At 52.2% G+C, this 13,668-nt stretch overlaps 2 long non-coding RNA genes across 2 annotated transcripts in view; both read right to left on the bottom strand.

The window, feature by feature from the left end:
- Positions 1-153: 153 nt before the first annotated feature.
- LOC107985807 (uncharacterized) lies at positions 154-5,354 on the bottom strand. Its single transcript, XR_001739185.2, has 3 exons — positions 4,976-5,354; positions 3,597-3,940; positions 154-406 (listed from the first exon to the last, which is right to left on the bottom strand). It is a non-coding gene; the product is annotated as an uncharacterized LOC107985807 (long non-coding RNA).
- Positions 5,355-8,324: 2,970 nt separating this feature from the next.
- Positions 8,325-13,668, bottom strand: part of LAPTM4A-DT (LAPTM4A divergent transcript) — a 65,743-nt gene continuing 60,399 nt past the window's right edge. The window contains exons 3-5 of the long non-coding RNA NR_187142.1: positions 12,077-12,256; positions 11,143-11,317; positions 8,325-8,385 (exon numbers count right to left, since the gene is read on the bottom strand). This is a non-coding gene — a long non-coding RNA (LAPTM4A divergent transcript). The remainder of the gene's footprint in view (positions 8,386-11,142; positions 11,318-12,076; positions 12,257-13,668) is intronic.

The following is a 13,668-nucleotide window of genomic DNA, read 5'->3' as shown; positions in this document are numbered from 1 at the left end:
TATTAACTTGGTCATTAACCAAGACCTGACCTAACAGTGTCAATTCTTGGGGGCTGGAAGGTGGCACAAGGCTCAGGAATGCCAGCCAGACTCACCATCAGTGAGATTGCTTTTGTTATTTATCATTGTATCACAAACCACTCCAAAGCTCAGTGGCTTTAAAACCACCACAATTTTATTGGCTCTCTCATGGTTCCATGGGTTGTCTGGGATCAGCGGGTGGATCTTCTGCTGGTCTTGCTTAGAAGTCTCTCATGCAGGTGCATTCAGATAAAGCTTGAGGCTGGAGTCAGCTGGAAGCTCAACTAAAATGCTGGATCAGTGGACCTCTCCTCCTCTCCATGTGGCCTCCCCATGTGGCCTCTTCAGCAGGGTGGCCAGAAATCTTTCATGGTGACTCAGGGCTCTCCAAGTGAAAGAAAGAAGAAGTATTAATAGAAACTCCCATTTCACTTTTTTGTTTGTTTTTGGTTTTTAGAGACAGGGTCTCACTCTGTCATCCAGGCTGGAGTGTAGTGGCATGATTATGGCTCGTTGCCACCTTGAACTCGTGGGCTCAAGTGATCCTCCCACCTCAGCCTTCAGAGTAGCTAGGACCACAGGTATGTACCACTACACCTGGCTAATTTTTAAATTTTTTGTAGAGATGGGGGTCGCACTATGTTGCCCAGGCTGATCTCAAATTCCTGGCCTCGAGCACTCCTTCTACCACAGCCTCCCAAAGTGCTGGGATTACAGCCATGAGCCACCACACCCAGCCTGCCATTCCTCTTAAAGGCTAAACCTGAAGCTGGCATGGTATCACTTCCACCGCATTCTGTTGGATAGTGTGTGTCAGAGGCCAGCCTAGGTTCAGTGTGGGAGGGGACTACATCAGGGCATGAATGCCAGGAGTGTGCTTCACTGGGGCTCATCGCTGGAGGCCAGCTGTCAAGCATGGCAGAGTGTTAGAGGCGCAGCTGAGGCAGCAAGGAGAGAAGTGATTGGTCAGTGATAGATCCAGGTCTCATGGTCCTCTCCACTCGGCTAAGGAGGTCCTGGGGCTGGTCTTGGCTCAGGTCTTCCTAGCACAGCAGGAGTCAAGCCCAGGCGGATCTGCTTATATATCACACTTTTTCACCCCCACCTCTCTGTACACCGTGCCTGTGCTCAGGGCTTTGGCCCCACTGTTCTCTGAATGGATGCCCCTTGACTGGCCACTTTAGCACACAGAGTTAAAGAAGCCCTCAGCGTGGCAGTGGTGGCCTGGCTGTTGCAAGGGAAACTCCAGTCTACTATACAGAATTGCCTCCTGGGCTGTTCCACTTGCTCCTCCCTAAAGCACCTCAACATCAGTACATCCAGAGCTAATCCCCCACCTCCCGCCCTGACACTCTCCAGAGGAGACTTCATCCAGGAGCTCCAAGGCCATTTGTCCTTCCTGAATAGATGGCTCAAAGACAGCCCCTGTTATAGTAGAGCAGAAAAATCAAGTTTAATATCTGGAAGTGCCCTTTCCCTAGAGTGAAATGCAGGCAGTAACCATGCCTGACTCAATATTATTTCTTGATAAGTAAACTGGATAAATTATGTGGAAGCATGAAAAAGTGTGGAGTGCTATAACCAGGGGAAGGACTATTATTTAAAGCAGGGACATTTGACCTCCGTTGATTAGTACTCATTACCCACTTCTGACAACAGAGCCCTTTCCCTTAAGAAACCCATTCCATGTGGTTTGGATGGGGCTAGCCTACTGAGAAGTTGGTACACGGCCTTAGGCCTAACCAGTCAAAGACTCCATATCTCCGACTATATGGATTGGTTCAGAAGTGGGCATGTGACCTCAGACTAGGCCAATCAGAGTCCTCAAGACTTTTCTGCTGGAGCTCTCAGGAAACACACTTTCTGTCACTTGAATTGCTAAGGTCAATCTGGCCTCCCATCTAGTAAGAACCCACTTGGGAAATATGTGTGTGTGTGTGTGTACCTGAACTATATATACTACATGATGTGGTGATTTGAGCAGGCTCTTATATATATATATATGAGAGGTAGAAACCTGTTGACATTATTCTAGCCTCTGGATCCAGCATTGCCTGAATCAGACCAACCCTGACATTTCAGTTCCATGAACCAATGTGTTATCTTTTTTGTAGCCTGAGGAGCCTAACTAATTGTCTTAAAAAATCTGGGCTAGTCATGGTGGCTCATGCCTGTAATCCCAGCACTTTGGAAGGCCCAGGCAGGAGGATCGCTTGAGCCCAGAAGTTCAAGAACAGCATAGTGAGACCCTATCTCCACAAAAACCTAAAAAGTTAGCCAGGTGTGGTGGTGCATGTCTTTAGTCCCAGCTACTCGGGAGGCTGAGGTAGGAGAATTGCTTGAGCCTTGAGCCAGGAGTTCGAGGTTGCAGTGAGCCATGATTGTGCAACTGCATTCCAGCCTGAGTAACAAAGTGAGACCCTATCTCTAAAAAATAAAATAAAATAAGAATAATAAAAAATCTCTTTTCTCTTCATTTTCACTATTCTACAACTCTTCAAAACTCAGCTTAGGCTGGGTGCAGCAATGGTTCATGCCTATAATCTCAGCACTTTGGGAGATCGAGGTGGGAGGATCACTGGAGTTCAGGAGTGGGCAACATAGCAAGACCTTTTCTGTACTAAAATTAAAAACAATTGGCTGTACATGGTGGCGTGTGCCTGTAGTCCCAGGTACTTGGAGGCTGAGGTGGGAGGATTGCTTGAGCCCAGAAGATTGAGGCTGCGGTGAACTATGATCGTACCACTGTCCTCCAGCCTGGGTGACAGCAAGAAAAAAAAAGACATGGCTCAAATTCTCCTTTTCCAAGAAGCCTGCTCAAATCACCCCATCATGTAGTATATATAGTTCAGATTACATTGCCTTGTACAAGCTTGTCCATACTATTATAAATTGGAGGTGGGGATGGTTTCTGGAAACTATGTGGTCCTCCCAAGTAGCTCAGGAGCTTCCAGGAGCAGGAGTGCATCAGGCTAGCTGTGAGGATCTGCACACTGGGCTCACCACCTGGGGTGGAGTGTGTGAGTGTGTGACGATCCAGGCACCCACCTGAGATCCTGAGGGTAGGTGTGGGCATGTGCATGTGACCAGAGCAGAGGTGATGTGCATGGCTGTGTGTGTGGTGACTGAATGAGGGATGAGTGAGCAGAAAGACAGGCTCTTCAGGAATCAGGACCAGTTCAGGGACAAGTCTCTGCAGGGCTGGCAGGAGCCCTAGAGCCCAGGCTTGTATGTGGTGGAGGGACTCGGCCGTGCCCTCCGCACTGGGTGCCATGGTCTCGCAGTTTGGTCTTGGGCTGGGACTTCCTTTACTTCCATAGTTCAGCTTTGTCTCTTCAACCACAGAAATCTGGGTCTTTTTAATTCTGCCTCCCCGGTCCAGGCGGGATGGCCTGGGCAGAGTCCCCTCTGCTCTTCCAAGTGGCTACAGGAGGAAGAAAGATGGCCCTTCTCTGTCGGGCAGGCTAGATGATTTGTAAGCACTGTTTTCTGAATCCTCACTGTGCCTTCACTGGCTCTTTGAACATTCAAGTGTCCCTGCCTGGGACATGACCCTCTCTCTGCCCTGCACCTACCTCCTCATCCTTTAGGTCTCAACTTGGACACAACTTCTCCAGGAACTTTCCCCTGCACCGGCTCCCATGCATGCGGGGTAGAGTCACATCTTCAAGGCTCCTGCAACCCCCGTCTGCCGTGTAGCAAAGTATCCATGGAGCTGCATGTTATAGATGCCAGTTTGTCTCCATCGCTTCTCTAGATGGGGAGCCCCTGGGGCTGTCCCCACTACCTGGTCTCGGTTTGCTCATTTTTTCAACAGCACTCTATTGAGCCCCAGCTAATGTGCCAGGAACTGCTCTCAAAGCAGGAAATACTGCAGGGAACATGATAGAGAAGGTCTCTGCTGTCACAGAGCTTCCAGCTTAGTAGGAAGAGAAACAACAAGCGAGTAAACAAATACTCAGAACACACATTTCACTGATAATCAAACAAATCAGGGTGACGCAGCTAGGAGAGCCTGGAGGGTGAGAGAAAGCCTCTTCTTTAAGAGCTGGTGTTTGATCTGAGATGTGCAGAAATCCGGGCAAGAATAGTCTAGGTAGAAGGACAAGCTGGAGAGCTCCCGCTAAGGTGGAACTATCTCCTACTTCCCAAGTTTGAGCAAGGGGATGAAGGTCGATGAAGGGGAAGAGTGGGAGGAGTTGAAGTCAGAGGGGCAGGTGCCTTGCACTGAATTGCAGGCTATGGCAAGGACTTTAGGCTTTATTCAAATAACAGTAGGGAAGTGATCTATCTTGTTTAAAATTTTAAAAGATCAGCCGGGCATAGTGGCTCACGCCTGTAATCCCAGCACTTTGGGAGGCTGAAGTGGGCGGATCACCTGAGGCCAGGAGTTCACGACCAGCCTGGCCAACATGGCAAAACCCCATTTCTATTAAAAATACAAAAATTAGCCAGGCATGGTGGCAGGTGCCTGTAATCCCAGCTACTCGGGAGGCTGAGGCAGGAGAATCACTTGAACCCAGGAGTCAGAGGTTGCAGTAAGCCGAGATCATGCCACTGTACTCCAGCCTGGGCAACACAGCAAGACTCTGTCTCAAAAAAAAAAAGTTTTTTTAAAAGATCATCCTGGCTGTTGTGGGTAGAATGGACTTTGGGGAACAAGCAGGGGACAATTGGGAGGCTCCAACAGCCACGTGGATATGACAGGTGATGGCTCAGACTAATGTGGCAGTGACAAAGATGGAGAAGAAAGAAGGGGCTTGGGACATAACTGAGTTAGGTCTGTGGGACTTGGTGATGAATCTCAGGTGGCTAGGAAGAGAAGGAGGAGCTCCAGGAGGCCTACTAGTTTTGAGAAATGGAGTGTGTGCTGGTGCCAGTTACCAAGATGGGAAAGGTTGAGGTGGGGACAGAAATCGAAAGTTGTATCTTATCTATGTTAATTTTGAAATACCTGGTAGATATCCAGATGGAGACGACAAGTAGGTGTGAGCCTGTAGCTCAGTGGAAAGGTCAGAGCTGAAGATGCAAGTGCAGGAGGCCTGAGCAGGTGAATGCTTTTCAAAGGCTCCATGAGCTCATCTAGTTCAAGACTGTCTAGAAAATAATAGAAGGCCCGTGACCAAGCCAGATACACACAAGAACATATAGAGGTTGATGGAAACCAACAGAGGAGCTTGAGATGGGCAAAGAGAGACAAGAAAAGTAAGGAGGTTGTTTTCTCTGAAACCAAGAGATTATTTCAATGAAGAGACACAGCCAACCATTCAAATGCTGCTGATGGATCTGGTGCATTGACAGAGAAGTGACCACTGGCTTCAACAACATCAACGTTATTGGAGGCCTTGACCAGAGCAGTGTTTTCCTTTCCTTCCCCTTCCTCTTCCTCTTCCCCTTTCCTTTCCCCATCCCTTTCCTTTCCCTTCCCTTCCCTTTCTTTTTTTTCTTTTCCTTTCTTTCTTTCTTTTTTTTTTTTTTTTGAGACAGAGTCTCACTGTGTCGCCCAGGCTGGAGTAGAGTGGCGCTATCTCGGCTCACTGTAACCTCTACCGTCCGGGTTCAAGCGATTCTTCTGCCTCAGTCTCCAAAGTAGCTGGGACTACAGGCTCATGCCACCACGACCAGCTAATTTTTGTATTTTTAGTAAAGATGAGGTTTCACCATATTGGCCAGGCTGGTCTCTAACTCCTGACCTCGTGATCTGCCTGCCTTGGCCTCCCAAAGTGCTGGGATTACAGGCGTGAGCCACCATGCCTGGCCTCCCAAAGTGCTGGGGTAACAGGCGTGAGCCACCATGCCCGGCCTCCCAAAGTGCTGGGGTAACAGGCGTGAGCCACCATGCCCGGCTGGCTTTCTTTTCCTTTTCCTTTTCTCCTTCCTTCTTTCCTTCCTTCCTTCCTTCCTTCCTTCCTTCCTTCCTTCCTTCCTTCCTTCCTTCCTTCCCTCCCTCCCTCTCTGACAGGATCTTGTGCTGTCACCCAGGCTGGAGTACCCATAGCTCACTGCAGCCTCAAACTCCTGGGCTTAAGTGCTCCTCCCACCTCAGCCTCCCAAGTACCTGGGACTGCAGGTGTGTGCCACCATGCCTGGCTAATTTTCTTAAAACTTTTTGCAGAGATGGGGTCTTGCTACGTTGCCCAGGCTGGTCTTGAACTCCTGAGCTCAAGCAATCCTCCTGCCTCAACCTCTCAAAGCACTGGGGACTTGGGCAGTTTTAGTGGATTGGAGGCAAGGGGAGCCAATGGGGTGAGCATGGAGAGTGGGAGTGAGTTTGCGAGCGTGGCGAGTGTGGAGTGCGTGGGAAACTATCACACTGTGGAGGAGAGCAGAGAATGAAACAGCAGCTGCTGAGGAAAAGGGGCCTCAGAGGGAAGATTTCCGTTGTGTGTGTGTGTGTGTGTGTGTGTGCACGCATGTGTGTGTGTGTTTTGAGACGGAGTTTCGCTCTCGTCGCCCAGGCTGGAGTGCAATGGCACGATCTTGGCTCATTGCAACCTCTACCTCCCAGGTTCAAGCAATTCTCCTGCCTCAGCCTCCCGAGTAGCTGGGATTACAGGCGTGTGCCACCACCCTCGGCTAATTTTGTATTTTTAGTAGAGATGGGGTTTCACCACGTTAGCCAGGCTGGTCTTGAACTCCTGACCTCAAGTGATCCACCCACTTCGGCTTCCCAAAGTGTTGGCATTACAGGCATGAGCCACTGCACCCGGCCTCCATTGTGTTTTTGTTTTGATTTTTGTTTTCAGGAGATGGGCTCTCCTAGAGCATGGGTTTATGCTGATGGGAATGGCCCTATAGAGACAGGGAAATGATATAGGAAGATAATGAGGTAATTTCAAGGGAATGACCTTTCCAAGGCAAAGGGTGGGATCCACAGCACAAAGACATTAAAGGAGAGAGAAGAAGGCAGAGAGAAGATCCCAAGGATATTAGGGAGAGTGCCGTGAAGTGAGAAAGCCGGCGTGGTGTGTATCTGTCCACACATGGGTGTGGACACAGAGGAGGTGGACAGTTAAGACAAGTGGTTCCTGAGTAACCCAGAACTTGGGCCTGATCAAGAGGATGAGTCTGTCCTGTGGAAATATGGGACTCAGGCCTTGGGCCAGGGTGTCCCTGTTTCTGGGCTGGGAGCATCAACACATCTGCTGGTCTTTGCTGATCTTGGACTCACCCACAGAGATGTCTGTGCCACCCCTGCTGGCTCCTGGTGTGTTCGGTGCTCAAGAAACCCTTTCAGTGGCAGAGGAGCTACCTGAGGTGGGATACCTGCATGTGGACTAATTGCATGGGATTCTCAGTTCTTGCGTGCTCAGCTCTCTTCACATCCCTCCCACCCCAGCATGAGGTAGAGGAACCACATGGTGGACCCAGGAACACAAAGATAACACAGCATGGGGCTGGGCCTCGTCCCAAACATACTTGGAAGCCAAACAGGCTGTCCTGGGACCCAGCACAGGCACAAAGAGCTGCTCAGATGGAGTTTTATTGGGGTGTATGTGTGTCTCTCTCCCACATCATCTGGCACCCACTTGCCTCCAGAGAAAGGGCTTCTTCATCTCTCACGTTAGTCATCCATGCCTGCACGAACAACTGGCTCTTTCCACAGCTTCCTCACCCATCCCGGGGCAAAGCCAGCACGGTGCCTGGCACAGAAAGTTGCTTCATACTTTCCTATCGAATAAACAGATGAATGCACACTTTGAACAAGCACCCACCCACAGGCGAAAACACCCACTTCCTCTCCAGCCCGGCAGGGACCCCTCAGAGGCATGAGCATCCCCGTGGCCCAGTGCTCGTTCCCACCACAGTGATGAGGCTCTGGACCTTGGGCTGAGCTCCTTGTTCCCCAGTGGAAAGGCCACCTTGGGGACTGCTGGGCCAGGAGGTCAGCCAGTCAGCGGCCATGCTGAGCAGGGACAGCTGTTTCCAGCAGGGCTCCCAGTTCTGGGATTGGGCCGAAGGGATGTGGCCCAGGCCAGGCCTGAGGAGAGATGAGCCACCCCACCCTCCTCCTGATCTTCCAGCTGCTCCTGACCTCCACCTCCGGGCTCCTCCTGCTCCTCCAGCTGCTCCTGACCTCCACCTCCGGGCTCCCCCTGCTCCTCCAGCTGCTCCTGACCTCCACCTCCGGGCTCCTCCTGCTCCTCCAGCTGCTCCTGACCTCCACCTCTGGGCTCCTCCTGCTCTTCCAGCTGCTCCTGACCTCCACCTCCGGGATCCTCCTGCTCTTCCAGCTGCTCCTGACCTCCACCTCTGGGCTCCTCCTGCTCTTCCAGCTGCTCCTGACCTCCACCTCCGGGCTCCTCCTGCTCTTCCAGCTGCTCCTGACCTCCACCTCCGGGCTCCTCCTCAGTGCCTGGTCAGCTGGACGAGGAATGGAAACCCCAGTCAGATTTCTAAAAGAAATCTGAGAAGCCAGCCTCGGGAGCACTTGCCAAGCCCTGCTGAAGTTGTTCTCCATCTGGTCATGAGCCAGGAGGAAGACCGAGGTCAAGTGACAGAGGGCCCACAAGTGACACCGATGAGGGGAGCCCACGCTGGCCCCAGCCCTGCTGGGCAGGAGAAGGCAGCCACTGCGGGCTGCAGAGCAGAGTGAGGCTGCAGTGCCAGGGAAATGAGAGGGCTGGAGACAATGAGGGTGACCCCATTTCAAAAGTCAAGGCTGGGAGAGGAGCACGACCCTGCCCAGCAGAGCAAGGGTCCAAGGAAGGCTTGCCTGTGGGGATGCCTTGAGGAGAAGCCAAGACAAGTGGGGAGACCCGGGGGCTGAACTGGACTCCTCTGAGTGACTGTGTTAGCCCTCGCCATAATGAAGTACCGCAGGCTGGGCAGCTTGAACGAAGGAGTTTATTTTCTCACAGTTTGAAGGCTAGAAGTCCGAGATCAAGGTGTTTCGGGTTTGGTCCCTTCTGAGGCCTCTCTCCTTTGCCTCCAGATGGCCACAGCCGCCTCCTCGCTGTGCCCTCCTATGGCCTTTCCCTTTCTTATAAGACCACCAGTTCCATTGGATTAGGGCCTCAGCCTAACAGGCTCATTTGAACTTCACCACCTCTCTAAAGACCCCATCTCCAAATGCAGTCACATTCTGAGGTACGAGGAGGTTAGGGCTACAACATACAATTTTTGGGGGACACGATTCAGTAAATAACAGTGGCTATGGAAACATTATCTTGATAGTGACTGTGCATGTTATACAACAATTGACTTCTGGGCCCAAATAATATACCAACAATAGGGTGAGAGTTCCTCCGGTGTGTGTCTGTGTCTGTGTGTGCATGCGTGTGTCTATGTATGTATGTATATGTGCGTGCATGCACATGTGTATGTGTATGTATGTGTGTATGTGTATGCATGTATATGTGTGCATGCATGTGTCTATGTATGTATGTATATGTGCATGCATGCACGTGTGTATATGTATGCGCGTATGCATGTATATGTGTGTGCATGCACGTCTGTCTATGTGTATGTGTGCATGCATGTGCGTATGTATATATGTGCGTATGTGTGTGTGTGCATGTATGTGTATGTATGCGTGTATATATGTATACATGCATGTATATTTGTGTGTGTCCATGCATGTATGTGTATGCATGTGTGTGTGTATGTATGTATACATGTATGTGTGTGTGCATGCATGGGTATGCATATGTATTGTGTGTGTATGCGTGTGTGTATATGCATGCACACACACACGTACACAGCAGCCTGCTGTTCACCCACTAGATCTACTTCCTTTGGCCTACCTGATTTTCCCCTCAGCCTGGGAGGAGGATGGGCATCATGGACCCGTTTTATGGATTAGCTGGAGGAACTTGCCCAGGTCACACAGCAGGCAAGGGTCAGCCCTGGCACTGCTACCCAGCTGCCTCAGTGTCCTGGACACTCCCCACCTACTGCCACATGCTTTCTAACAAGGTCACTCTGCGAGGACCTCTCACCCCCAGCTGAAGAGCCCCCAGCAGTCACCCGGGCTCCTCTGCCTATGTGGTGCAGGAGGAAACTGAGTGAAGTGAGTCACGAGGCTGTTAGGTTTGCAGCTTAATGCAGCTTCTTATCTGCCTGTGGCTTATCTCTCAAGCTTTTGATGATCAGGTTCTGTGCTGGCTCACAGCAGGTCCCTCAGGCAGGGCACACCCAGCCTTGGCCCCACCCTGACAGCCTCAGCCCTCCTTTTGGGGGCCTTTGCCTCTCCCATGCCTGAGAAACCTGTGGCCATTCCTGTTCCTCACTCTCATCCCTCTGCTTGTGTGCAGAAGAGCGGAGGTCCCCAGAAGCCTTCTCTGGAGGGATGAGAGCAGTGGCAGGCAGGGTGGGTGCAGAGGGCAGCCTGGAGGCCAGAGGCCCAGTCTCCAGGACACCCGAGATTCTCATGGGGACCACAGAAGCTATGCTGTGCATTGGCCCTACCTGGTCCCACCTAGCAGGATGGCCTTGACCTGTGGTCCTTGCCCCACTGATTGAGGCACTGGATTTCCGGTTGGAAGGCTTCATCCAGATGCTTCTAAAGTGCTGAAACTCTAAAGTCCCTGGCTCCATGGCAATGGCAGGATGGGGGACCTGAGGGCAAGTCCTTCCTTATTCTGGCCACACCAAGTGAGGGAATCCCTGGGGCAGGGCTGCGGTCTGGAGGTTTCATCTTAGGCTGTTGGGTTCTTCCAGCCAAGCAATTGCTTAAGTATCATAAAGCAGGGGCCCTAGAGTGTCACCATCTACAAATGTGGGTTTAATGCAGACACTGTGACCTTTCCTCCCTGACCACAGTGGCCTGTGAGTGGACTGACAACTATGTTGTCACTGACCCCATGACAGCCAGGTGGCTTGGGCTATTTGGGGTCTCTTTTCCTAAGTAGCCCCAACATTCAGGCCTACCCTAGTCGAACCTCCAGCAGAGGCCAGAAAATGATGGCCAAAAACCACATACTGCCAGAGCTGTCAAGGACGCCCTCTCCCTTACTGTGCAGACCGTGGGGCCCACAGCTCGCTTGCTCATATCGGTTCTAGGCTGTGTTCAATTGCTACCATACCCTGGGCCAACCGTGCACCCAGAAGGTGGTAGACACTCAGACATGCTTGTATTTGTGAATGAATAGCTAGGTCCAGTCCCTGGTTAGGTCATACCTCTTTGGCCCATCCCCACTCCCAGTTGGGGTTATGGCCTGAAGGTCTTGAGAGCAAGCTCATCAGTGCGGGTGGTGGGGACACCTCTCTGTTTTCACCAGGACCCCACGGTGGGTTGCCTGGTTGGAAAGGACTGCAGGTCTGTCCCTGGCCATTGCTGTAAGTGTGAGGCTTCCTAGGAAATAAAGAGGCATTGACTGCGTGAGCCACAGCAGGTAACTGAACCTGACTGATTCCCCTCAGACCAAACCCTGAGGCACTCTAGGCTGGGCTGTGAAAGGCGCTGGCGGGGCCTGGCCAACCTCCAGGAGCAGTGTGAGAACGTGGCCTTTAGCCCTGCCAGTCCGCACTGGGGAGCTGGGGTGGAGGGGGCTACTGAGGACCAGACACCAGCGCAGCCTCTGACGGACACTTCAGGAAGAACCTCAGCGGCCCCACAGTGGCCACTTCTCCTGTGTTCTCCCTCACTCCATGGGCTTCCAGACTTCTGTCTTTTGATGGTTGAGGGGGTCTCGGGAACCCCTTATTCTCATAAGCAGACATGCAGGGCTCCTGACCTGTGCCACTGCCTCCCCTCCTCAGAACAACCTTCCGCCTCTGGAGAAGGATGATGGTGAGTGGAGGAAGCCCCTTGGAGGAGGGCGTCAGAACCTGCATCCGACAATCCCATCATTCTTTCCACCACATCTTTGGGAGAAGGTGGCTTCTATGTGTTGACCCATCAATGACTCCGAGTGTGGGAAACCAAGGGTCACGGGGGTGGGCGCTCCTGCCTAGGGGGCCAGTGAAGCTGCTGCTCTGAGAACGAGCCTGCTGTGCCAGAAAGACTCAGTCTGGCCTGGCTGATCCGGAGCCTGAGGCTGCAGGAAACCTGCCTTTCCTGCCCGGCACTCCCGCCCCATCAGGGCCCTGGGAGAGGGCAGGGCACTCTCACCAGTTCTCACACAAAGGTCTCTTGGGTTGGGTTCCAGAAAAACAAGACCTTGCTCCAGCCAGCCCACTCACTCTTCTTCTCTGCTTGGTGCAATGGAAAGTGGTAGACAGTTCTGGGTTCAATGAGGCCTGGGGCCAAGCCAGGTATTCTCTCCAGCTTGATTTCCTGCTCTGGAAAACTCTGTAAAACAGGATCACAGTACCTGTTTTAGTGGAGTTGTTGTGAGAGTTACCTGAGGAGATGCCAAAACTGTCTGCATCTTGCGGGCATTCCCTGATTGGTAGTTCTCGTCCCCACTCTGGTTCCCAGAGTCCTGAGCCCTGGGGCTGTCTGTGCCCCTGGCGCAACCCTGCCAGACACTGGCCATGCCCAAGGTTCAGCCTGGGCTTCCCAGCTCTTTCTCTTGTCTCCCTGTGCCCGCAGCCAGCTGCTCTGGTGCTCTCCTTGGAGCCTGGTGGGCTAAGTCCCACCTCCAAGCTGTGTGCTGCTGGAATGGGACTGCCCTACCTCCCTCCCTTCCCCTGGACCCATGTTTCGTGCTCCTTCGAGGCTCCTCTTCCAGGCAGATAAAGGTCTCTTCCTCAATGAACCTCATCAGAGCACCCCTGGCCCCATGGTGGCCATCGTCCACTGGCAGTGTCTGCCAGCAGCCTGGGGCCCTACTAGCAAGCCCCATCCATGCCTCACTGGGAAATCCAGCTGACCGTGCAGGGTCCTCACAGAGCAGCTTCTGCACTCTCTGACCTGGGCCTGTTCGACACAGTTATGCGGTCCTGCCCTTTGAGGGAGTCAGGACGGTGGCGCCAGCGTCATTGCGCCTTCTGGGCACTTAGTGCTTCATACCCAAGATCCCCAGTCCTCACAACAACCACAACACGGTGACAATATACCACCTTGACGGATGGGTATTATCCCCACTCACAGAGGAGGAAACTGAGGCTCAGAGAGGTTAAGTGACTTTCCTGAGGTCACACAGCTAGTAAGTGATAGATCAGGGACTTGACCCTAAAGTCTATGCACTTTTTGCTGTATAAAGAAAGGTACTTCTGGCGGGGGCTGGGGGTGAAGAGATGTCTCAGATCTCTTGGGCAGTACAGGGCAGCAGCACCCCTCATTTGGTGCACCCCTAGCCCGGTGGAGTCATCTTTGGAAATCCCATTTCATCTTTGACCCTTTAATGTTTGAGGCCTGACTCCTGTCCACTCTAGATGGCCGTCAGGGAAACACTCAGCTTCAGCTGGGCCTCCGTGGTGGGGAGATACTCTTCCCAGACAGCCAAAGCCTGTCTGCCCGCTGCTCTCCCTGTCCTCTCCCTCGGCCCAGCCCCACAGTTCTGGCTCTGCCCCATAAAGGGGATCGAGGATGAAATGGGAGGCTCCCAGGTTAGGTGACTTCATGGACTCAGGGGCTGTCTGCCATGCCCAGAATACATCAGAAATTCTTCATAGCTGCTAGTCTGTAGTTTGCAAAGAGACAGATTTGAATTCATACGGTGGCTGCAAAATGTACTGTTGTGACACAATGGAACGTTTATTTAACTTCTCTGAGCCTCAGTTTTCTCATCTGTAGAATGGGTTCTTATAAGGATTAAA

The sequence above is a fragment of the Homo sapiens genome, chromosome 2 (genome assembly GCF_000001405.40).
Source record: "Homo sapiens chromosome 2, GRCh38.p14 Primary Assembly".
Classification (NCBI taxonomy): Eukaryota; Metazoa; Chordata; class Mammalia; order Primates; family Hominidae; genus Homo; species Homo sapiens.
This window is presented reverse-complemented; position numbering and strand designations above follow the sequence as displayed.